We start from the raw sequence: 23192 nt of genomic DNA, 5'->3' as shown, positions 1-23192 counted from the left end.
ACCTCATTTTAAATCTGTTGATTCTCAATCAAGTTGCCAAGTGTTTTGTGTTTTTTTTTTTTTTCCAGATGGAGTTTCGCTCTTGTTGCCCAGGCTGGAATGTGGTGACACGATCTCAGCTCACGCCAACCTCCCGGGTTCCAGCGATTCTCCTGCCTCAGCCTCCCGAGTAGCTGGGATTACAGGCATGCGCCACCACGCCCGGCTAATTTTGTATTTTTTAGTAAAGACTTGGGCTTCTCCATGTTGGTCAGGCTGGTCCAGAACTTCGGAGCTCAGGTGATCCTCCCGCCTCAGCCTCCCAAAGTGCTGGGATTACAGGCGTGAGCCACCACACCTGGCCAAGTTTTGTATTTTTTTTTTTTTAAGTGTCCCTGCTAATAACAAAGACGTAAATTCCTGATTTGGGGTTAAAGATGTTCCAGCACGAGTTCACGAGTTTCCATGAAAATGAAAGTTGGCATGAATGGATCTCAAGATACCTTGGCAATGTGGCCCTACCCTGAAGTAGCTCTTTCCCAGGGAGGGAGCAGGCCTGCTGCGGAGGTGGGTGACACAGTGACACAAGCCACCAGCTGCCACATCAGCCTGTGACTGACTCGGCATTGTACAGAATCGCTTCCATGGCATCTAAGACCACACCCTTCTGGATTTGGGAGGTGGCAACATACTGAGCATGTGCTCTGGTGATGTCAGGGAAGTGAGTGGGGCTACAGCACCCACGGGGAGCTCCGAAGACGGGACAAGGGACGCAGACGCTTCTATTGAGCAGCTGGCCTGGGAAGGCAGTTTTCTCAGGTCACTCCCTTGTATTTTTCAACAGACTTTTAGGTGCCTACTTAAACGGGAGCTGGGCTCAGAGTTCCCTAGATGATGAGGTTGGCCACTTTTTGTCTGGTCTGAGTGCTGAAGTGTGTGTGTGCTGCATCTGTACACGATGCCAGCAGCTCCCCACTGGGTCCCCCAAGGGTACACTTTCTCGACCACACACACATACCTAATAAATACTTATGGTGGTGGGTGGTTTACAGCAGTAGGTTGTTGGGTGTTATAGTCCCACAAAACATGTAGGTCAATTCGCATCCATCCTGATAGCCCGTGGCACGTGAGTTCTCAAGAGGACTTGGCTTTGTAAAGGCCAGACCTGGTGGCAGGGCCTTGGCCAAGGTGGAGGGTGCCCTTGACAAGGCAGAGGCCCTCGGAGGGCAATGCTCATCCACGTGAGTGCCCCCTCTGCACGAGAGGACCAGCCTGGATGCCCCTCCTTGGAAATACAAGGACCCGCTTGGCTTTGGAAAGTACAAACAGTGTGGGATCCAAGTCTCAAATACGGAATCCCATTAAACTGGGCTTTGATGACAGTTTTTAATTGTGCCTTTATTCAACTTAGTTCATTAAAAATGTTTTAAAGATCCTATAAATAAAGTGACCACTCACATGGGATATAGGTCACCCCTCAGCATGTTATTTTTTTTCTTAAAAAGCAGTATTTCTTACAGGAATCTTACTGATCACACGGTAGTTACAATAATGTCAGATATGATGTATACAGTCTAAACGAGACAGTCCAGTTAAGAATATACATAATGTAAAAATACACATATTAAAAGTTAGCCAAGTGGACAGACGCATGCGGGGGTGGGGGGAGCAGGTGACAGGAACTCCTTTAACAATCAGTAGAGGGCCCAGATGCAAAGAATCTGGTTTTCCCCGTTACAGTAAACAGCTTTCACTAACGTATACAGGTATTTCATACACATCTAAACACACAAGGGTAAGTTGTGACCTGCTACACATAGGGTCTAAAGTGGTGTAATTGTGATTTTCCTGTGATACTCCCAAGAAAACTATAAATAGTGAACCCCATGCAAGTACTGGGAAGCACTAGTCTTTTATCACAGGTTGAACCTGAGGAGGTTTAACTCTTGACATTAGTATCTGTAAAGAGCGTACGGCTCTTTTTGCTATGTTTTCTCCACAACTGACATGCACTTGGTGTGGGAGAATTCTGATGGCTGTCTGACCTAAGAGTGATAACTACTATTCAAAATGTGGGTACCTTTTCAGTAATACTGAGTTACACATTTAACATTAAAAAAACAAAAACGTGGATCATCCACAGCTTTAAGCCGGAAGGCAGAAGGGAGTGTGTCTGAATGTTAATGTTTTCAGTTATACTATTTTGTGTTTCTCCCGCTGTACTCCAGAGTGACACTGGTACACTGCTGCTTTCCGTAACAACACAGGCACTAGTTTGAACTCAGACAAAACCTGAAACAGAAGAAATGCCACTCTTTCTCCAGGGTCTTTTAAGAAACTCGATCAAAATTATAAATTATTCAAGTTTCCTTTTGAGTGGTGTCTTTATGTGTGTAACTATCTAGAGAACAAACCAAACCAGAAATGTCTACCCCTGCAAGAGTGAGGACTTTGGGTGTGGTTCTCTTAGGAGTCAGGGACCTTCAGCAGTTTACAGTCAGGGCCGTTTTCTCACACAGCCCGTTTACCCTGCGTTTGTGCCAACTGTGATGGCAAATGCGTTTTGCGGGGGTTGCGCTTCACAACTCAGGCCTAAAGATCCTCTTAGGGAGATCTCTCTAGCTGAGTAGAAAACTTCTACCCAAAAAGGCGGCGGGTTTTGTGAACCTGAAGAGAAGACTCAGGGTCTCTCTGAAAGCCTTTAAATTACTGCTGGAATTACAAGTTCCTATTAGTGAGAAAAGAGCATTAAAATAACTTGAAGGTCTATTTTATTGGCAACTTAGAATGCAAAGTATTTTATTTTTAAACTTTTAAAATTTGAAAACAAGCTAGCCTACATTAAATAATATAGTTTCCAAAGCTGAATGTGCTCACTTGGAGCTCAGTTTTTCTGCTTGAAACACAAACACAACTTCCTAACACTCCTAGGTGGGAACACTACTGTTTCATGATCTGTGATTGGATGAACTGATCGATCTCAGTTGGTAACATCCCTTTTTTTTCCTTGGTAAGGGTTTAAACAATTCTAGAAGAGCTGCATTTTTTCTGGTTTTACACTGACAATTTCATCCCGAACGTCTCCTGGGAGGCATAGACCATGTACAGGAATCCATCTTCATCTTTCTCACTCTCATACACCTCTGAGATTGGTGTGGAGACGCTGACCATGCTGTGTCCGTTCACCAACAGGAAGAAGGCCTGATTAGCATTGAGCTGTAAGCGCCTTCTATTGAAAGAAAACAACGTGAAGAAATATTGACAACAATACAAGAAGGATGAAGCATGTGTTAAAATATCACCCACTCTGATCGGTAAAATATAAAAATGTTCTAAATGCTCTTGAATCCAATACTTCTCATAAAGCACAGGACACTTCCTTTGATTATATTGACATGAGCTATAATCACTGAAAGATTACATATTAGGCTGATTTTAAACTAGTATACTGTCTGAACAGCTGTTAAACTGTCTAATATAAGAAAGCAGTTCAAATACAGTTTCTGAACTATTCTAAGATCTAAGCCTGTGCCATTTACTGCCACTCACAGAGTCTACATTCTCTTTAACTAGCTTTGCTGTACAATACCTTAATAACTTGTAACACTGATTTTAAACAGGAAACATCTAAACGATGTTATGATGAAAGAAACGGGCTCTGCAGTCTAGCAAGTAATATAAAACCTCAAAAAAAGAAACATTTTATAGTTTAAGTTGAAATTGTTTTAATCATAACTGAATCAGAACTGAATTCAGCTGAAAAATATTTTTTAAAGATTTTAACCAGAACTAAAGATTTAACTGTAAGTTTCATAAAGAATAAGAAGTTACTCAAAGGAAATATATTATGAAACAAAGGTGACTGAATACCTAATTATCTTGATGAGCTCACTCATGTTGACATGGTCAGGTACAAGGAACTTTGTTTTATCCAGAACAGGAAGCTGCTTCTCACCCTTGTATCGTTCTATTATCACCTGGAAAAGAAGCCAGAAGTGATTTTAAAATAGTCATCAGGGCCAGGCGCGGTGGCTCACACCTGTAACCCCAGCATTTTGGGAGGCCGAGGCGGGCACATCACGAGGTCAGGAGACTGAGACCACCCTGGCTAACATGGTGAAACCCCATCTCTACTAAAAATACAAAAAAAAATTAGCCGGGCATGGTGGCGGGCGCCTGTAGTCCCAGCTACTCAGGAGGCTGAGGCAGGAGAATGGCGTGAACCCGGGAGGTGGAGCTTGCAGTGAGCCGAGATCGCGCCACCGCACTCCAGCCTGGGTGACAGAGCGAGACTCCATCTCAAAAAAAAAAAAAAGTCATCAGGCTGGGCATGGTGGCACATGCCTGTAATCCCAGCACTTTGGGAGGGTGAGGCCAGCAGATCACCTGAGGTCAGGAGTTCGAGACCAGCCTGGTCAACATGGCAAAACCCCGACTCTACTAAAAATACAAAAATTATCCAGGTGTGGTGGCAGGTGCCTGTAATGCCTTCCAGCTACTCGGGAGGCTGAGACAAGCTTGAACCTAGGAGGCGGAGGTTGCAGTGAGCTGAGGTTGCGCCACTGCACTCCAGCCTAGGGCATAGAGCTAGACTGTCTCCAATAAATAAATAAAATAGTCATCAACAATTAAAAATATACAAAATGCCTCCTACAGTCTAACTGGCACATGCCAAAATGGGCTTTGAAACAGCACATTCACTAGTTTCCTCATAGCTCTCCTGTGAAGAGTGATCATTTGCTAGCTTAGACATCTACCCCTTACAAAATATAGTACAAGAGAGACAATATGTCTGCCGTCAGGTAGGAAGTGGGGGAAGATACTTGGCTATGTATCCTTTCATTCTGTTTCAGTTTTGGAACCATGAAAAATACATACCTAGTCAGAAAAAGACCTCAAGCCTTACCGAGGCAGAGAGGCTGGGAACCAGCTTCAAGCACAAAACATCTGAAACTCTCAATTCCAAAACTACCATATCCTGAGACATGGCTGAAGTTTTTTTTTTTTTTTTTTTTTTTTGAGACAGAGTCTTGCTCTGTCGCCCAGGCTGGAATGCAGTGGCACGATCTTGGCTCACTGCAACCTCCGACTCCCGGGTTCAAGCAATTCTCCTGCCTCAGCCTCCTGAGTAGCTGGGATTACAGGCACCCGCCACCACGCCCAGCTAATTTTTGTATTTTTAGTAGAGATGGGGTTTCACCATGTTGGTCAGGCTGGTCTCGAACCCCTGACTTCGTGATCCACCCGCCTCGGCCTTCCAAAGTGCTGGGATACAGGCGTGAGCCACCGCGTCCGGCCAGCTGAAGTTCTAATGAAAGTAAATGCATGTGTTTTGGGAGCCACGGTGACTCAGGCTGGTTGTTCTGGTGCATAAGGAGGTGAGGCTATGCGTTCCAGGCCCACCTGGGAAACATAAAAACCTTTCATCCATTAAAAAAAAAAAAAAAGTAAATGCCTGTGTTTTAATAAATGTGTAAGTTCCTAATTATAGTAATATGCTCAATGTTTTTCCACACTAGAGACTGTCTAGTTGACATGAAAAAATTATATTTGACAAGGCAAGTAGAGTCCATTATTAGCTGGTTCTAGAGACAAAGTTTTGTGCATAATGACCTGGTACTTTCATTCTGATAACATATTTCTTTAAATGAGGTTAAAAATACAAATATTTGAGGCCAGGTGCGGTGGCTCACGCCTGTAATCCCAGCATTTTGGGAGGCCAAGGCAGGCAGATCATGAGGTCAGGAGACTGAGACCATCCTGGCTAACATGGTGAAACCCCGTCTCTACTAAAAATACAAAAAAAATTAGCCGCGCATGGTGGTGGGCGCCTGCAGTCCCAGCTACTCAGGAGGCTGAGGCAGGAGAATGGCGTGAACCCGGGAGGTGGAGCTTGCAGTGAGCCGAGATCACGCCACTGCACTCCAGCCTGGGTGACAGAGCGAGACTGCATCTCAAAAAAAAAAAAAAAATTTTATACACACACACACACACACACACACACACACACACACACACACGTATTTGAACTACACAGGGAACACATATAGTTTCATATTATGAATTTAAATAAAGCCATCAGGCCGGCGTGGTGACTCACGCCTGTAATCCCAGCACTTTGGGAGGCCGAGGTGGGCGGATCATGAGGTCAAGAGATCAAGACCATCCTGGCCAACATGGTGAAACCCTGTCTCTACTAAAAATACAAAAATTAGCTGGGCGTAGTGGCACGTGCCTGTAGTCCCAGCTATTCAGGAGGCTGAGGCAGGAGAATCACTTGAACCTGGGAGGCGGAGGTTGCAGTGAGCCGAGATCGCGCCACTACACTCCAGCCTGGGCGACACAGCAAGACTCCGTCTCAAAATAAATAAATAAATAAATAAATAATCCATTGGCTCCTCACTATGCTTCCTTTCCATGGAGCAAAATATTTTGTTTTTTTTTAGTTTTAAGCTGTTATAATACCTGACCACAGATGAGCCTCTGAGTCTCATTAGTGTCTGTGTTTACTGAACGCTGCGGACATCTTTTCTATATACAGTAATTCTTCCACCCTGTCACAACAAAGAGAAGTTGAGTGGCAGGAATGGGAAATCTTTACATGCTTCTTTGGGAAAGAAAAATGCTTATTTGTACATTGTTCTATTGTGTGAGACCTACATAGGGTTCTGTGTAAGGCCGAGTCAAGCTGTCATCACTTTCCTTGGTAAGTTTGAGAGCTTTATCTAGCGGACACGTTCTGAAGTGTGATATCCACAAGGAAATATCAGTGTGTAGGCTCCACCTGCCTGAGTTTAAGTGGTAGCAGAAATTAGAGGCAGTACAGAAATCTTGGCACCTGAGGCCAGCCAGTGGCTCATGCCTATAATCCCAACACTTTGAGAGGTCAAGGTGGAGGATCATTTGAGCCCAGGAGTTTGAGATCAGCCTGGGTTGTTAAACATAGCAAGACCCTGTCTCTACAAAAAACTTAAAAAATTAGCCAGGTGTAGTGGTGTGTGCCTCTAGTCAGAGCTACTCAGGAGGCTGAGGAGGGAGGACTGCTTGAGCACAAGGTGGCTGAGACTGCACTGAGCTACGATCGCACCACTGCACTCCAGCCTGGGAAAGAGAGTGAGACCCTGTCTCTTAAAAAAAGGATACCTCTCTCTAGGTTGTGAAACTGACACCCAGGGTTTGGCTGTCTGGTGATTCCTGTAAAAACCCGTCAAGTGGATGCACTTATGCGGTGCTCTCCTCTGCGTACATTCATGACTGAAACCGAGGCCTGAGACTACCTACCGGGATTTTGGTTGGATGCTGCTCTCGAATAAGTCGGACATCTTCTACTCTTTGTTCTGCAATGAAATGAAGAGACAGAAGCATTACTAAGGGCCAGGCAGCTTCTTCCCAGCACTGCTGCTGGTTCTCCATCCAAGTTCAGCTGCTAGCTGTGGCACAGCAGAACACTGAAGACATCTTTCCTAGGACTTAAAGAAACAAAACACGAACACTTCAAACCTGATAAAGGTTTGTATCTAAGGCCAAGAGCAACATAACATACATGGCTCTATCAGGTGATAGGACAAAGACCAGGAATATGGGACAACTAGTTTCAAGGAATTGGGAGCCCAAAGTTTGTGGTCAGACATACAAGGCAGACCCACTGCATGAGACCCAGTCCTTCCTCCAAAGACCACTACCACCTATAATATTAACTTCAATTTTTGTTAATTTTCCACACTTTAAGTTGGAAATGGAATCCATTATAAACCAGGAAATGCAATTTTTCCCTTATCACTTCCAGCTTTTTAATGATATGGTGCCTAAGAGAAAATAAACTGCTCAAGAGAATGGAATATGATGCCTGTAATCCCAGCACCTTGGGAGGCTGAGGTGGGCAGATCACTTGAGGTCAGGAGTTCGAGACCAGCCTGGCCAACATGGTGAAACCCTGTCCCGTCTCTACTAAAAGTATAAAAATTAGCCGGGCGTGATGGCACATGCCTGTAATCCCAGCTACTCGGGAGGCTGAGGCAGGAGAATCACTTGAACCTGGGACACGGAGGTTGCAGTGAGCGGACATTGCACCACTGCACTCCAGCATGGGCGACAGAGCCAGACTCCATCTCAAAAAAAAAAAAAAATTCTTTTCTCCCTTTTAATAGAATCACTTATTGATAATTTCAACAACTGTACTAGACTGTGGGCAATACAGGGAAAAAAAAACAAGCCAAGTCCAGTTCCCAGAAACCCAAAAATACAGTTAGAGAGAAGTCATTTACAAAGCAATATGTGTGTTAAAAAAAAAAAGGCAATATGTGAACATATGACTTAGATGGCATTATTTAAAACCTCCAAAAAAAAAAATGAGCAAAATAACCTTGATTTACTATGGTAGGATTGATTCTCACGGTAAGCGCAAATAAATAATCAATGTCACGAACTTCCTGAGACAGAAAAAATATGGTGTGACCTACATAAATATGACGTTACTCTAATATCATTGCCAATCTCATTTGGATTAAAAAAAATTTTAGTATCATTCTTTTTTTGAGACAGAGTCTCACTCTGTTGCCCAGGCTGGAGTGCAGTGCTGCAATCTCCGCTCACTGCAAGCTCCGCCTCCTGGGTTCACACCATTCTCCTGCCTCAGCCTCCCGAGTAGCTGGGACTACAGGCACCCGACACCATGCTCGGCTAATTTTTTTGTATTTTTAGTAGAGACGGGTTTCACCCTGTTAACCAGGATGGTCTCCATCTCCTGACCTCGTGATCCGCCCACCTCAGCCTCCCAAAGTGCTGGGATTACAGGCGTGAGCCACCAAGCCCAGCCCAATTTTAGTATCACTCTTTATAAAAACTTTTAAAATTCCTGTGTTCAAGTACAGCCATAAGTTCGACTTCTGTTTCCCCATCCAAAACTTTAAAATCAGCTTCTAAGATACATTGCTAAATATAAACATCTTTGCAACAAAGATTGCAAACTCATGGATTTCTACCAGTGCATATTCCTATTGAATATATATGCAAATGATAAATTTGGTGGCTGGGCGCAGTGGCTCATGCCTGTAACCCCAGCACTTTGGGAGGCCGAGGCGGGTGGATCACGAGGTCAGGAGTTTGAGACTAGCCTGGCCACAATGGTGATAGCCCATCTCTACTAAAAATACAAAAATGAGCTGGGCGCGGCGTCCGGCGCCTGTAATCCCAGCTACTAGGGAGGCTGAGGTAGGAGAATCGCTTGAACCCGGGAGGCACAGGTTGCAGTCAGCCGAGATCACGCCACTGCACTCTAGTCTGGGCGACAGAGCAAGACTTTTGTCTCAAAAAAATGAAAAATAAAAATAATAATGACAAATTTCGCTATTGTTAACAGTAAAATTAACCTAGTGGCTCTTATCCTTTGACTCCTTCTCTACTTCCCAGCGAGATTCTCAGTGACCCCTCATCATCACCTCTCCTAAGTATGAGACATCTTCCTATGCCTGTCCTACCCCAGACCCTCTTCACAATAAAAACGTCCATTGTGTCAGTGTGGATTCAGTGTATAGGGTAAATCACGATTTAATTCACTCCAGCGAATAAGTGATACCTCTTTCATATATCCTGGAATGTTTCACATTTAAAAGCTTATCCTAATAAATCTAAAAGTAGAAACGTTCAGGCAGAGGGGAAAGAATTTTTTTTTTTTTTTTGAGATGGAGTCTTGCTCTGTCACTCAGGCTGGAGTGCAGTGGCGCGATCTCTGCTCACTGCAAGCTACGCCTCCCAGGTTCATGCCATTCTCCTCCCTCAGCATCCCAAGTAGCTGGGACTACAGGCGCCCGCCACCACGCCCGGCTAATTTTTTGTATTTTTAGTAAAGACGGGGTTTCATCATGTTAGCCAGGATGGTCTCAATCTCCTGACCTTGTGATCCGCCCACCTTGGCCTACCAAAATGTTGGGATTACAGGCATGTGCCACCACACCCGGCTGGAAACATTTTTTTAATATAGGAAACTAGGTTTGGCTGGGTGCGGTGGCTCACGCTCGTAAACCCAGCACTTTGGGAGGCCAAGGCGGGCGGATCACCTGAGGTCAGGAGTTAGAGACCATCCTGGCCAACACGGTGAAACCCTGTCTTTACTAAAAATACAAAAATTAGCTGGGCGTGATGGCGGGCACCCGTAATCCCAGCTACTCAGGAGGCTAAGGCAGGAGAATCACTTGAACCCAGGAGGCGGAGGTTGCAGTGAGCTGAGATCATGCCACTGCACTCCAGCCTGGGTGACAGCGCGAGATCCTGTCTCAAAAAAAAAAAAAAAAAAAAAAAAAAGGAAAGAAGGAAAAAACAGGCTCTATGAAGTTTCAAAGTCTGAAACTATAGTGTTTAAAGTTATCTTTATCCTGATTTATTCCCAAAACACGACCTAAAAAGACAAAAATGATTATTTTCATGAAAGGTGGGAAGTATATAAAAGACAAGTTACTTCCTTAAGCTGTAAAGAATAACACCCAAGTCCCATAGGAGCATCTTAGCACGCTGTCCAGCAGCAATGAAAATCCAGTGCTGAGCCTGGAGTAACTAACTGGCTGTACACGGTACACACGGATGCTCCACTCTCATTCTTCAGGAGACAGCTGTTTTAGAGGCTAACAGTATATTTAACAAAAGCATTATCAACAGCACAGTCAATGGCATAGAAGGAGGGCAAGTCTTTTACTCCCTGTTTCCTAATGCTGTAATCATCTGTTTTTGTCTTTCTCAACAGACTGCCCCGCTGGCAGTCAAGGACCCAGCTCCAGTCCAATCTGTGTCCCCCCAGGGCTCAGGCTTGTACACAGAAGAGAGTTCATCAACAACTGAATGAAAGCTGTAAAACAGAAATGAACACGGCTCCACATGCACAGCAAAATCTAACCTGCTTCCCCAGATTCCTTTCTTCTAAAACAAAAAAGATCCTTAAGAGCCTTTACAAACATTAAAACAAACGGTAGGAGCCTAAGGTGTCCTATTTTTAAGAACACGTTCTTTGCAAAGTTGTTTTGAGATATCTTCAGTCATTTTAAGTAAAATTTCAGTTTTTCCAGGATTTTCCAGGATTTACTTCTCAGAGAGAAACTGAAGCACTCCCCCTCCCCCAGGCCAGGCGTGGTGGCTCACACCTGTAATCCCAGGACTTTGGGAAACCAAGGTGGGAGGATCACTTGAGGCCAATAGTTAAAGCTGGCCTGGGCCACACAGCAACAACTCTTATTTGTCTGTTTGGTTTCTTTTTTTGGTAGAGATGAGCTCTCACTATGTTGCCCAGGCTGGTCTTGAACTCCCAAACTCAAGCGATCCTGCCTTGGCCTCCCAAAGTGCTGGGATTACAGGTGTGAGCCACCATGCCCCACACAATTTTAATTTTTGAAGTTCATTCAATATTTCCAACACATCTCCAAGGACACACTATGTCTCCTGACTCACACAGTCTTGGTCCACTTAATATACTGGAAATGATGGCTACCTACTGGAGACTGGAAGAATTCATGCCAGGTTAAAGGTACCAGTCCAGACTCTGCCACTAGGTGGACCATGATCTTCACCACCAGGCCCCACCCAGTTTCTTTAGCTACAAAAGGAAGGCGTTGTTTTCAGTGAGCCTTAAAATCCATTTCAACTTTGAGAACCCTGTCAATCCTGGTAGAGTTTATCAGCAGAGCTATATTCAGTATTAACCTTAAACTCACTCACTTGGAAAGAGAAAACACCACTCAAGCTAACTGGGGCTTATCTTAGGCTCCATAAAGAGGTTCTCTCTAAGGATTCATTTCCCTCACTTACTGTGCTACACATGTCTGAAAACTGTCAGTACTCATGATCAACATTACCAAAATATTCATGAACTAGAAAGATTTTTTTTTTTAATTACCAAAATCAGAAGCAAGGAAAGGTAACAGCTGTTAAGATATTTGACACATTTCTACAAAGTGACTATTAAAGAGATATTTAAAGGGGAGGGGGCAAAATAAAGGTGAGCCAAGGGAAAAAACCCTGAAAATACAGTATATACAAGGTCCATACATCAATGGGAAAAAAATGGGGCATTATTGCTGGTCTACCCTCAGGGCCACTTTTAGGTTCCAGGAAATTCCTTGTTCGGATGTGTTAGTCTCACATTTCCTACCCTTACTACCCACTCTTCGCAGAGACTTTTCCAGAATAACCCAAAAGTACTAAGCAAAAAAGAAAATAACTATAGTTTCTGTTATGAGAAAAAGGGCATCTCTCCTACATAAATGTTCCCAGTTAACTTTTCATTGGTGAAAACAGAAGCCAGGTCTGAGGGGGGCCGCTGGATCGCTTTAGCCCGGGAGGTCGAGGCTGCAGTGGGCTGTGATTGCACCACTGCACTCCAGCCCAGGTGACAGAGTGAGACCCTGTCTCAAAATAAAAAAGAAAAGAAAATCTGTCTTTAATGCTGCTCTCAGGGCTCAATAAGCCTAGACACTACAGTAAAGAGTTCATTAAGGTGACTAACAAGAAAACTACTAACAAAAAAGGCACGTGTAAGTCTTGCTAACCAACGGACTGCCTCAAGAGGCTGTCTGAAAAGATATGCTTGGCAAGCTAAGGTCCATTTTAATTTGCTTAAGTTTCTCAGGCATAAGAAAAAAAATAATGGTCAATGAGACCTGCAAAACTATATCCAAACTCAAATGAATGCTAAACTCTTTCTAGACTCCGGGAAACTAGGCAAAAGCAGACAAACAGCACCACTGTGTGGGCTCCTGACGAGGATGGCGGCAGGCATTCGCAGTCCACCGCGATGAACACGGTGCTTCCCTTCCAAACCGGTGTCTGGAACTTAGGCAACAACAGATACCTGGATCTGCGGCGTTCTCTTGCTCAAGCGGGAAATAATCACTTCGCATCATCTGCGTGGAGTAAATATTGTGATGGTGACACCTGCACGTTTAACCAAATGCCAGCACACCTAAGCTGGGTTTCCAGTCTGAACCGGCAGAAAAGGGATGTATTCGGTATTCCTGGTGCCAAGGTGAGAACGTAATCGCAAACCCAAGAGAAGTCTCCCACCCCAGCTCCTGGGCTACAGACAGGAACTGGCAACACCGCTGTGGGCCGTCCCGGGCGCGGCGAGGCCGGGGCCCAGCACATTCCCCTCCTCTCGACCGAGGCACTGAGGTCTGTAAGAGGCACTCGCACCCGGGCGGGCTCCCTCGACGGGAAAACCAGCCCTGAAGGTGACGCGCTGGGTCCCGGCGCAGCCCCGCTTCAGAGCCGAACGGCCCAGCGCGGCCCCGGGGGCTGTTGGGCCCCAGAAGCGCGACCCTCGCCCGCAGCGCGCTTGCGGGGGCGGCGGTGGCCGGGGTACGGCAGGCACCCCGCCGCGGAGGGCGCGGGGTGATTCAGCAGGCCCGGGGCCCCGAGCGCACCGGCCCCCGCCCGCCCTCCGCCGGCTGCCTCCTCCCAGGCCTCCGAGAGGTCCGCAGGCCGCCCCGGCCCAGACCAGCCCCTGGCCCTCCCGGCTCGGTCCCGGCCTGGGTCCCTCACGGGGCCCCGGGCCCCGCATCCCTCGGCCCCGCCGGCCGGCAGCCACCGGCCCCGCTCGGCCTCCCGGCTCGGCCCCGACCCCTCACGGCGTCCCAGGCCCTGCCGCCCTCCACAGCTCGGACCCCGGCCCCGCCGCACCCGCCGCCCTCGCGGCGACACTCACCGAAGGTGCGGCGCTGCTTGAAGGTCTTCTCCGACGGCATGGTGCAGGGATCTGGGCGGCGGCGGCGGCGACGACGCGAGGGTCCCGGCGGCTCCCGGGGGCGGCGGCTGCTGCGGCGGCGAATCCGACTCTGGCGATAGCCACTTCCCTTGTATCTCCTCAGCCCGCAGCCTGGTCAGGTGACTCGCGACGCGTCACCGAGGGGCGGGGCCAGAGCCGGCCGGGGCCGCCGCCATGACGGGCGTGGCGGAACCCAGCAGCGGCACGCAGCGTGGGGGCGGAGCAGGTGTGTGCGCGTGCGCGATGGGCGAAACGCGCGCTCTGCGCATGCTCCCGGTCGTGCCCCAGCCCCGCCCAGCACCGCTGGGCGCCTGAGGCCCCTGAGGTGACGGTTGTGGGCTGGGCCGCACCCCGGGTCTGTGGGCGCTCGGGAGCCTGCTGCCCGGCCCTGAGGAGATGGCAGCGCGGGGCGGGGGAGGCTGAGCCACAGGCGGGGTGTCCCGGGGCACTCTTGAGGGAGGGGTCAGAGGAAGGGACATGGGGCAAATCCGACCATCCTTTCCCCTCCAGAGAGACTTGGTGGTGCTGCCCGAGACGCCGGCACCCGGGGCTGAGGCGCGCAGGGCAGGCCGCGCCGTCTCCGGGAGGCAGGGTCGCCGCTCGCCCGTGGAGCCCTGGCCCCCTCTGCGTGCAGGGGCGCGCGTGGTCCGTGGGTGGCTTCCGGGGAGTGGCCGCTGGTGACCTCCGCCCGCGGTCACTCGACGCCCAGCCTTGGCGCGTTTGCGCAACTGCTTTTGTCCCGAGCCTTCATTCTGGGCGCAGTCCCCTCTCCCAGTCCCCCTGCCGCGGCGCCTGGAACTCTCCTGGTGGCTGTAAGATTTTCCTACCGTTAGGTCGTCTGTGGCGACTGCCAGGCCTGCCCCACATCGCTAGCCGCCCTGTCTACCCCTCAGCCTCCCAGCCACTAAACTCGCTGGACAACCTTACGCTAGTGACAGTTTTTGAGTCTCAGACTCATCTGTGAAAGGGCAGTCATATTTGAGGACTCCAAATGGGCTGCAGTGCGTAAACCACCATGCGATATTTGGTTGCTATTGCCCACCTCAGCCTGTGGCCAATGTGTCTCTGTAGGAACAGCACTAGATTCTTTGGGGTTTTTTTGAGACAGGGTCTTGCTCTGTTGCCCAGCCTGGAATGCAGTGGCACGATCATAGCTCGCGGCGGCCTCGGTCGCCTGGGCTCAAGGGATCCTCCTGCCTCAGCCTCCCGAGAAGCTGGGAGTAGAGCCGGGATCTCGCTGTGTTGCCCGGGCTGGTCTTGAACTCCTGGCCTCAAGCAACCCTCCCGCCTCGGCCTCCTTAAGAGTTGGGATTACAGGCGTGAGCCACTGCTCCCGGCTATTTGGCTGTTTTTGTTCTTTAACATCTAATACTTTGAAAGAGCCCCATAGTTCCAGGATTTCTCCTTTTGACTTTGTAAAAGCCTTTCTTCTATCCCAATTGGATAAAGTAATTGGATTAGGCTAATACACTCTACACTGTAAGCTTGAATCATACAAAACATGAAAATAGCGGGGGGCGGTGGCTCCAAGCCTGTAAACCCAGCTCTCAGGGAGGCAGAGGCTGGGAGGATCGCTTGAGCCCAGGAGTTTGAGACCTGACTGGGCAACATAGCAAGACCCCGTCCTCCACAAAAAAGAAGAAAAAAAGTATGAAAATATATTTCTCGCGCCAGGTGCGGCGACTCATGCCTGTAATTCCAGCACTTTGGGAGGTCAAGGCAGGAGGATCACGAGGTCAAGAGTTCGAGACCAGCCTGGTCAACATGGCGAAACCCCCATCTCTACTAAAAATACAAAAATTAGCCGGGTGTGGTGGCAGGCGCCTGTAATCCCAGCTACTCGGGAGGCTGAGGCAGGAGAATCGCTTGAAACCGGAAGGCAGAGGTTGCAGCGAGCCAAGATCCTGCCACTGCACTCCAGCCTGGGGGAAAGAGCGAAACTCCATCTCAAAAAAAAAAAGAAAGAAAATATATTTCTCAAAGTGCTTTTATACAGTTGGGATTTCTTCTAGAGAAGCCAACTACTGTCATAGATCCTTGTATAATTAATTTACTCCCACCATCAGAAGAATGACGTTAGTTGTAGTTCTTTATTACACCACTGTTTATTTTATTTATTTGTTTTTTGAGACAGAGCCTTGCACTGTTGCCCAGGCTGGAGTGCAGTGGCGTGATCTCAGCTCACTGCAACCTCCACCTCCCGGGTTCAGGTGATTCTCCTGCCTCAGCCTCCCCAGTAGCTGGGAATACAGGTGCCTGCCACCACGCCCAGCTAATTTTTGTATTTGTAGTAGAGAGAGGGTGTCACCATGTTGGCCAGGCTGGTCTTGAACTCCCGACCTCAGGTGATCCACACGCCTTGGCCTCCCAAAGTGCTGGGATTACAGGCACGAGCCACCGCGCCCAGCCAATTGTACCACTTTTTGTGAAATAACGGTGCATTTGTGCAGGTGGCACTTTCTGTCCCTGATTTTTTTGTCATAGTTCTTTACCTCAGACATCTCTGATAGTCATACAATTAATAAAGAAGAGTACTTAAACATTCTCTCTGGTTTCCAGATTCCGAAATTTTTAACCTCTGAAGCTGTGCCTTCACATGATCTAGGACAGCGTTCAGAAGATGGCTACAGTCTGTTGGTTTGTATTCTGTGAAAATAGAAAAAAAAATCCGGTAAGCGCATATTATGTACCTACCTTCTGCCAAACAACAAAGTATCAGTTTTGAAGTCTTAAAGAGTGGAGTCTGTGTTGCTTTCTTTTCTGGATTTTTATGATATTAAGTATTGACTGGTGAGTGCGTTCTTGGCTGAGTTGCTGCTTTGTAAGAAATGGGCTTTTTCTTTCTCTTGCTGGACAACTGTTCCAAATGCAAGAAGAAGGGAAAAAATCGATATCTGGCATATGGAGATGGGGGAGGGGAAGCAGAGTCTCATATTTTCCCACCCTTGGGCATCCATAAAGCTTTACCAAATTACTCCAGGCCTTGGGTTCATTGCCAGAGGAAGTAGCATCGACAGTTGTGTAGTAATGGGCCAGGGTTACTCTGCGTGTTTTTGAAATATAGGACTGAAGTCCACATTTGCAAAGCTGACACTTCTACGCCTAACTTCTAATTCCAACTTGAATCTAAAGCCACATATCCTTCCATGGCTCTCAGAAAAGAATCCAAAATGATTGGGGTTTAAAGATGGCTCATAGGTTTCATTCCCATGTAAGAATAACACATTTAGTTAAATAATATATATCTATTGTATATATATTATAATAATGTACATTCATATACAAATAAATATAAGAAACAACTTCATGTAACTTTTGGAAGCATAAGTGTGCTTGAGTATTTATGAAACATTTCATGTGACCCAAAAGACTGCAGTTTAGTAGAAATTTAATATAGTAGTGAACAATATTCAGAGTGGTAAATTAATATTACTCATGAATTATTTTAAGCTAGTTAATATAAGCATAGTGTAATATAAACGTTAATGTTCCCTGTAATAATCCATGTAAAGTAGAAAAGCAAGAACACATCTTTCATTTTAATTTACTCAGTGTTTTCTCTAGGAATTTCATGGTGCCTTTAAACTACCAAATAATCATTCATTCTTCAAAGTCCAGCAGTGGCACCCTATTCCTTTTTTCAAACCAGGAAATGACCATAACCGTGGGGAAATGATGTAACTGCTAAGAATTGAATGTGATGGCCCAGCTTGAGTGATGTAAGTGGCTGTAAATCATGCTGTCTAGCTGTGTGTAAGAACCTGTCAAATGAATCACAAAACATTAACCTGACCTACAGAAAGCATCGGGGTTATTTTTTGCCACACTCAATATGGACGGCAAGTCACGCGGAGAATTTGCTCCAGGCCTCAGGCCTCCTCGGCCTCTCCCTCCTCTCCTCTTTCTGATTGGAAGAGAGAGGCCACCGGCTTTGTCGTCTGCACCACTATAGGCCCAGTGTCCTATCCATCGTGGTGTCATCGCTTTGCTCTTGAGAGCAAGTAAACAAACAAGTATTGCTCAAGAGGAGTGCAGGGAGCTATTCTCAGAAAGGATTTGGTCAGGAGGATTTAGGGGTTGACACTGAATAGACTGCAGTCTTCAGAATGTCTTCCCTGGAGAATCCAGGGAATAAGTAGCTAGAGCAGGCTGTATGTTCAGTGTCTTCCTCCCCAGGGAAGTCTGGCCTGTTCAGCTTCAAGAATCTGCAAAGTAGAACGCGTGGTAAAGCACTGACAAATCAGTCACGCGACCCGCAGCTGTTTCCTAAATGAGTGTGTAACACCAGGTGGAACGGGCTGAGGTTCCACCATGTTTTTGTTTGCCTGTTTGTTTAATTCTAAACAAATTCTGTAGGACTGCTGTGTTTATAGCTTTTGCTCCATTCTGGGACTGTTAACGTGTGCAACTGTGGAGGCTCCATCAGCCCGCTTATTTTAAACTGCAATCCTCTTGTTCAAAGTTTGAATATTTTCCCTTCTTTCCAGTTAGTGTGACTAGTTCTTTTGAGCAGTGGGTAAGATCCCATTTTTTCACATCCGGATGTTGAGAACTCATTGGGATACAGTTAACGTGGCTTTCTTTCTTTCTTTTTTTTCTCTCTGTCGCCCAGGCTGGAATGCACCATTGCCCAGTGCATGTGGCGCCATCTCGGCTCACTGCAAGCTCCGCCTCCCGGGTTCACACCATTCTCCTGCTTCAGCCTCCTGAGTAGCTGGGACTATAGGCGCCCGCCAACACGCCCAGCTAATTTTTTGTACTTTTAGTAGAGACGGGGTTTCACTGTGTTAGCCAGGATGGTCTCGATCTGACCTCATGATCCACCCGCCTCGGCCTCCCAAAGTGCTGGGATTACAGGTGTAAGCCACCGCGCCCTGCCCAGTTAACATGGTTTTCCTCAGTCCAAGAAATACTACTTGTGACCTTTGAGGCAACCAATTGGAAAATGCCCAGCCCTATATTCGACTTACTTCCTTAGATGTTATCAGTTCTCACTAACAAAGAGGTCATTATTGTAAAGCCTCATCATAGTGTTAAAACAAATGATCTCTTCTATCTAGTTCTTCCTCGTTTTAGAATGCACGCACCTTCCTTATTCTTTAAAGGATACATTTCTACATAAAGGATTGTAAACGTGTTCCAAGGACGTATTCAGCTGTCAGGATTCAATGTGTAGTAGTTTTCTGCTGGCACTGTCTTTCCCCTTGGGTTCCTTCCCACCAACAGGTATTGCTGAAGCGCTCACGGTCATTCTTTTCTTTCTATTATTATTATTTTTGTAGAGATGGGGTTTCACTTCGTTGCCCAAGCTAGTCTCCTGGGCTCAAGCAATCTTCCCTGCTCAGCCTCCCAAAGTGTTGGGATTCTGGGTGTGAGCCACCACTCCCAGCCTTTTCTTTCTATTCTAAATGGTCAGTGCTAATTCCATCCTTCCACAACTTTGGGTACACAGCCTTCCATTATTCTTGCTGTCTGTCTTTTGTCCCTCTAATCCTGTGCTTTTCATCCTTGGTTATTCATATATCACCAACCATCTTCTATGGTTACTATTTTCTTTCAAACAGCTCATTTTTTATTTAAGGTATATTAAAATAGATTTGCCATTGCAGTAATGACCCTGCAATCATAAGTCTGATGTACTAGTTACATGTCTCAAATACTAAACCAGAATAAAGGCCGGGTGCAGTGGCTCGTGCCTGTAATCCTAGCACTTTGGGATGCCGAGGTGGGTGGATCGCCTCTGGTCAGGAATTCAAGACCAGCCTGGCCAACATGGCAAAAACCCATCTCTATTAAAAATACAAAAATTAGCCAAGTGTGGTGGCACTCGCCTGTAATCCCAGCTACTCGGGGAGGCTGAGGCAGGACAATAGCTTGAACCCGGGAGGCGGGGGCTGCAGTGAGCTGAGATTGTGCCACTGCACTCCAGCCTGGGTGACAGAGTGAGACTCCGTCTCTAAATAAATAAATACATAAATATAAAATGTTTCTGTACCACATAAAATCGTCCTGCATACAATTCATCTGCATACCACGCTGCTCACTGAAGCCTGAGTTGGCTTCCCAAAACACCACTTTCATCACTGTGTCATTCCCGAATTTGCGAGGGCTTCATCTGTCTTCCACGAGTTCACATTCTAACTCCAACCTATATTTTATCTCTTTTTCTTGTCATTTTTCATTTCCATCCTATATTTTCAGCTTCTGCTCAGACCACACCCTGGACTGAACCAGCCTCCTGTTTCCCTCAGGCCTCCTGAGGTCCCTGATCTCCGGCAAGTGATGCTCCTTCTCACCATCGTCTGTGCCATTGCCTTGAAAACTCCCTTCCTGGCCTCGCCTACTACATGAGCCAGGGACAACCAGCTGTCCTTTTATTCTTTTCTTTTTTTTTTTTGAGAAAGAGTCTTGCTCTGTCGCCTAGGCTGGAGTGCAGTGGCTCAATCTCGGCTCACTGCAACCTCCACCTCCCGGGTTCAAGTAATTCTTCTGCCTCAGCCTCCTGAGTAGCTGGGATTACAGGTGCCCGCCACCATGCCCGGCTAATTTTTGCATTTTTTCAGTAGAGACAAGGTTTCACCATGTTGGCCAGGCTGATCTTGAACTCCCAACCTCAGGTGATCTGCCCGCCTTGGCCTCCCAAAGTTCTGGGATTACAGGTGTGAGCCACCAGGCCTGGCCGCTATCCTTTTTTTCTAGAACATTCTCCCATCAAGTGTTCTCCTCCTGGCTAACTCCAAATTTTCCTTTGATTTATAAATGTCATTTCCTCAAAGAACCTTTGATCATCCAAAGTCTGGTCTCTGCTATAAGATCTTGTTAGTTTTACTTATTGTTAGAGCATTACAATTTATAATTTATGTATTTATCTATGTGGTTACTTGTTTAATGGCTGATCTCCCTGGTAGATAGCAGGATGTTATTAGTTGAAACCATTTTTTTTTTTTTTTGAGACAGAGTCTTGCTCTGTCGCCCAGGCTGGAGTGCAGTGGCACGATCTTGGCTCACTGCAAGCTCTGCCTCCCGGGTTCACACCATTCTCCTGCCTCAGCCTCCCGAGTAGCTGGGACTACAGGCACCTGCCACCACACCTGGCTAATTTTTTGTATTTTTAGTAGAGACGGGGTTTCACCGTGTTAGCCAGGATGGTCTCAATCTCCTGACCTCATGATCTGCCCGCCTCGGCCTCCCAAAGTGCTGGGATTACAGGCGTGAGCCACCGCGCCCGGCCTAATTTTTTAAATTATTTGTAGAGATGGGGGCGTCTCACTATGTGGGTAGGCTGGTCTCCGACTCCTGGGCTTAACCGATCTACCCGCCTCGGCCTCCCAAAGTGCTAGAATTACAGGCGTGAGCCACTGCGCCTGGCCTGTGTGGTTTGTTTGTTTGTTTGTTTGAAGAGACAGGGTTTCACCATGTTGGTCAGGCGGGTCTCAAACTCCTGACCTCAGGTGATGCACCCTTCTCCGCCTCCCAAAGTGCTGGGATTACAGACGTGAGCCACCGCGCCCAGCCATTTGTGGCTATTTTTGTTTTTTGTTTGTTTTGGAGACAGGGTCACGCTGTGTTGCCCAGGCTGAAGTGCAGTGGCACCATCACGGGTCACTACAGCCTCGGCCTCCTGGGATCAAGCGATCCTCCCGTCTCAGCTTCTCTTTCTAAAATTTTGTTTTGTAGACAGGGTCTCGCTGTATTGCCCAGGCCGGTCTCGAGCTCCTGGCCTCGATTGATACTCCCGCCTGGGCCTCCAAGAGATGGGGTCCGAGGCGAGCCCACGGCGACGTGCGCGGCTGCTCAGGTGAGAGGACGCCTTCGCGGTCACCACCCGCGGACCTGGGAGACGACCCCGCTCAGCGGCCTCGGCGGAGCCCAGCTGGAGCAGGCGTGCGCGGCTCCCAGCAGCTGCAGGAACAGGCGCCCTTTGGGCGGCGCCGCATGGCAGGGCCTCCCTTTCCAGACCGGGCGCGCATCCCCGGATCTCTTGGGCCGCGCCGGCCGCCGCCCCTCCAAGCCCTCCCCGGGGCTTCCGCAGGGAGCTCGGGATCCCCGAAGGTCCCTGCAGAGCTCCGCAGCTCGGGCCTTTTGGTTACCATAAGGCGGAGACGATGGAACGCGCGTTGTTTCAATGGACAAAAGGGCTTCTAGGCGCCCTTTGGGGTTCTGGCTGCTGCCTCTGTATTTGGAGGCTGTAAGGCGCATCTTTCTACTCACCGGCCGGCGCGGCACAGTTTCGGGCGCCGGAAGCGGGACGCACGGGCGCGAGGGGCGACCCCTATCTCCACAAAAGCCGCGGCGCGAAGTGGTCGCCGAGCAGCCTCGTTAGCGCAGTAGGCAGCGCGTCAGTCTCATAATCTGAAGGTCGTGAGTTCGAGCCTCACACGGGGCAGTCTAACGTTTTGCACTCGGCATCACCACTTTCTTTTCTCATGCCCGTCACGGGCGGCGCCCTCACGCTGGAGGGGAGGGCAGCAGTGCGGGGTCTCTGAGGTCGCCGCCCCGCGGGGAGGGGGTGGCGCGGCCGGGGCGGAGCTCTACGTAGGGGCGGGGCTAGGCTCTCCAGGGGGCGTGGCGAGCTCTGCGGCGGGGGCGTGGCTCGGCGCTGGCGGGGCGGGGCCGCGCTGGAGCGTGCGCACAGGCGGCAGCAGTGGCCGTCACTGGGCGGCATGGCGGTGTGTGCTCGCCTTTGCGGCGTGGGCCCGTCGCGCGGATGTCGGCGCCGCCAGCAGCGCCGGGGCCCGGCCGAGACGGCGGCGGCCGACAGCGAGCCGGACACAGACCCCGAGGAGGAGCGCATCGAGGCTAGCGCCGGGGTCGGGGGCGGCTTGTGCGCGGGCCCCTCGCCGCCGCCCCCGCGCTGCTCGCTGCTGGAGCTGCCGCCCGAGCTGCTGGTGGAGATCTTCGCGTCGCTGCCGGGCACGGACCTACCCAGCTTGGCCCAGGTCTGCACGAAGTTCCGGCGCATCCTCCACACCGACACCATCTGGAGGAGGCGTTGCCGTGAGGGTGAGCGCGCGGGGGTGGCGGGGCCGGGAGGGGCGGGGGGTCCCTGCCAGGTGGAGGCCTCGGAGCTGGGAGTGGCGGGGGCGGTGGCCCCGGCCGGGGGCCACCAGTTGGGCGCGGGGCCCGGCGATGTGGTGTTTTGGGTGTGGGTGGGGAGCGGCCGCGGTGACACCACGTTGAGGGGGCCAGGGAGGTATTTGAGGCGGTTAGGGAGGGTCCGAGGGGTCCAAGAGAGGCAGACGGGGTAGGGAGGGGTTGAGGGCGTCAGGGAGGCATCGAAGAGGCCCTGACGCGGGGCACGGGACACCACGGGGCCGAGGCCGTGCCGGGAGCTGGGGCTGGGATCCCTCGAGGTCTGCGCGGGGCCTAAGCTGACGCCTGGGGGCCGCCTCCTCTGCCCCTGTCTTGAAGGCGAGCCGAGGGTGCCCCGCTGGCCCTGACCAGAGACGAGGTGAACTTGAAGAAATGG

At 48.9% G+C, this 23192-nt stretch overlaps 2 protein-coding genes, 1 long non-coding RNA gene and 1 other non-coding gene across 5 annotated transcripts in view, besides 12 other annotated features; 2 read left to right on the top strand and 2 right to left on the bottom strand.

The window, feature by feature from the left end:
- Nucleotides 1357–13795, bottom strand: MAP1LC3B (microtubule associated protein 1 light chain 3 beta). The gene is made up of 4 exons (NM_022818.5): nucleotides 13664–13795; nucleotides 7261–7316; nucleotides 3850–3956; nucleotides 1357–3208 (listed from the first exon to the last, which is right to left on the bottom strand). Exons 1-4 carry the CDS (start codon nucleotides 13701–13703, stop codon nucleotides 3034–3036), a joined length of 378 nt encoding a protein of 125 aa, NP_073729.1. The 5' UTR covers nucleotides 13704–13795; the 3' UTR covers nucleotides 1357–3033.
- Nucleotides 12613–12662: an enhancer, noted in NCBI's record as "active region_11322". NCBI's record gives its function as "activates an Ori minimal core promoter by ATAC-STARR-seq in GM12878 lymphoblastoid cells {active_cell/tissue: GM12878}" and the evidence as "EXISTENCE:reporter gene assay evidence [ECO:0000049][PMID:35858748]".
- Nucleotides 13283–13412: a silencer, noted in NCBI's record as "silent region_7837". NCBI's record gives its function as "represses an Ori minimal core promoter by ATAC-STARR-seq in GM12878 lymphoblastoid cells {active_cell/tissue: GM12878}" and the evidence as "EXISTENCE:reporter gene assay evidence [ECO:0000049][PMID:35858748]".
- Nucleotides 13523–13692: a silencer, noted in NCBI's record as "silent region_7836". NCBI's record gives its function as "represses an Ori minimal core promoter by ATAC-STARR-seq in GM12878 lymphoblastoid cells {active_cell/tissue: GM12878}" and the evidence as "EXISTENCE:reporter gene assay evidence [ECO:0000049][PMID:35858748]".
- Nucleotides 13713–14362: a silencer, noted in NCBI's record as "silent region_7835". NCBI's record gives its function as "represses an Ori minimal core promoter by ATAC-STARR-seq in GM12878 lymphoblastoid cells {active_cell/tissue: GM12878}" and the evidence as "EXISTENCE:reporter gene assay evidence [ECO:0000049][PMID:35858748]".
- Nucleotides 13713–14837: a biological region, named in NCBI's record as "H3K27ac hESC enhancer GRCh37_chr16:87424900-87425858".
- Nucleotides 13879–14837: an enhancer, noted in NCBI's record as "H3K27ac hESC enhancer chr16:87424900-87425858 (GRCh37/hg19 assembly coordinates)". NCBI's record gives its function as "activates a minimal SCP1, AML or CMV promoter by ChIP-STARR-seq in primed H9 embryonic stem cells {active_cell/tissue: H9 hESC(primed)}" and the evidence as "EXISTENCE:reporter gene assay evidence [ECO:0000049][PMID:30033119]".
- Nucleotides 14010–23192, top strand: part of FBXO31 (F-box protein 31) — a 65135-nt gene continuing 55952 nt past the window's right edge. The window contains exons 1-2 of one of the 2 annotated variants that reach the window (NM_001282683.2): nucleotides 14010–14048; nucleotides 16283–16394. Coding sequence is in view for 1 of the 2 variants with exons in the window: in NM_024735.5 (NP_079011.3) it covers nucleotides 22387–22726 (340 nt within the window). In the remaining variant the exon portion in view is untranslated. Of the gene's footprint in view, nucleotides 14049–16282; nucleotides 16395–22354; nucleotides 22727–23192 lie in introns of those variants that run through there. The other variant, NM_024735.5, reaches the window with a different exon arrangement.
- Nucleotides 15810–22198, bottom strand: LOC124903747 (uncharacterized). Its single transcript, XR_007065168.1, has 2 exons — nucleotides 21935–22198; nucleotides 15810–16369 (listed from the first exon to the last, which is right to left on the bottom strand). It is a non-coding gene; the product is annotated as an uncharacterized LOC124903747 (long non-coding RNA).
- Nucleotides 17360–17959: an enhancer, noted in NCBI's record as "active region_11321". NCBI's record gives its function as "activates an Ori minimal core promoter by ATAC-STARR-seq in GM12878 lymphoblastoid cells {active_cell/tissue: GM12878}" and the evidence as "EXISTENCE:reporter gene assay evidence [ECO:0000049][PMID:35858748]".
- Nucleotides 21247–21898: an enhancer, noted in NCBI's record as "H3K27ac hESC enhancer chr16:87417839-87418490 (GRCh37/hg19 assembly coordinates)". NCBI's record gives its function as "activates a minimal SCP1, AML or CMV promoter by ChIP-STARR-seq in primed H9 embryonic stem cells {active_cell/tissue: H9 hESC(primed)}" and the evidence as "EXISTENCE:reporter gene assay evidence [ECO:0000049][PMID:30033119]".
- Nucleotides 21899–22552: an enhancer, noted in NCBI's record as "H3K27ac hESC enhancer chr16:87417185-87417838 (GRCh37/hg19 assembly coordinates)". NCBI's record gives its function as "activates a minimal SCP1, AML or CMV promoter by ChIP-STARR-seq in primed H9 embryonic stem cells {active_cell/tissue: H9 hESC(primed)}" and the evidence as "EXISTENCE:reporter gene assay evidence [ECO:0000049][PMID:30033119]".
- Nucleotides 21899–22619: a biological region, named in NCBI's record as "H3K27ac hESC enhancer GRCh37_chr16:87417185-87417838".
- Nucleotides 21960–22619: a silencer, noted in NCBI's record as "silent region_7834". NCBI's record gives its function as "represses an Ori minimal core promoter by ATAC-STARR-seq in GM12878 lymphoblastoid cells {active_cell/tissue: GM12878}" and the evidence as "EXISTENCE:reporter gene assay evidence [ECO:0000049][PMID:35858748]".
- On the top strand, nucleotides 22037–22109 carry TRM-CAT6-1 (tRNA-Met (anticodon CAT) 6-1). The gene has a single exon. It is a non-coding gene; the product is annotated as a tRNA-Met (tRNA).
- Nucleotides 22760–22999: a silencer, noted in NCBI's record as "silent region_7833". NCBI's record gives its function as "represses an Ori minimal core promoter by ATAC-STARR-seq in GM12878 lymphoblastoid cells {active_cell/tissue: GM12878}" and the evidence as "EXISTENCE:reporter gene assay evidence [ECO:0000049][PMID:35858748]".

Source organism: Homo sapiens, chromosome 16, assembly GCF_000001405.40.
Source record: "Homo sapiens chromosome 16, GRCh38.p14 Primary Assembly".
Classification (NCBI taxonomy): domain Eukaryota; kingdom Metazoa; phylum Chordata; class Mammalia; order Primates; family Hominidae; genus Homo; species Homo sapiens.
The sequence above is the reverse complement of the archived record's forward strand: the minus strand, read 5'-3'. Positions and strand labels throughout refer to the sequence as shown.

What these genes read in the sequence shown, in the direction of transcription:
- MAP1LC3B (NM_022818.5), bottom strand. Translation starts at nt 13,703, where the DNA reads ATGCCGTCGGAGAAGACCTTCAAGCAGCGCCGCACCTTCG. An exon ending in CAAGCAGCGCCGCACCTTCG is followed by an intron (nt 7,317 to 13,663) that starts GTGAGTGTCGCC and finishes ATTTCATTGCAG; the next exon opens with AACAAAGAGTAGAAGATGTC. An exon ending in AGCATCCAACCAAAATCCCG is followed by an intron (nt 3,957 to 7,260) that starts GTAGGTAGTCTC and finishes CTTCTTTTCCAG; the next exon opens with GTGATAATAGAACGATACAA.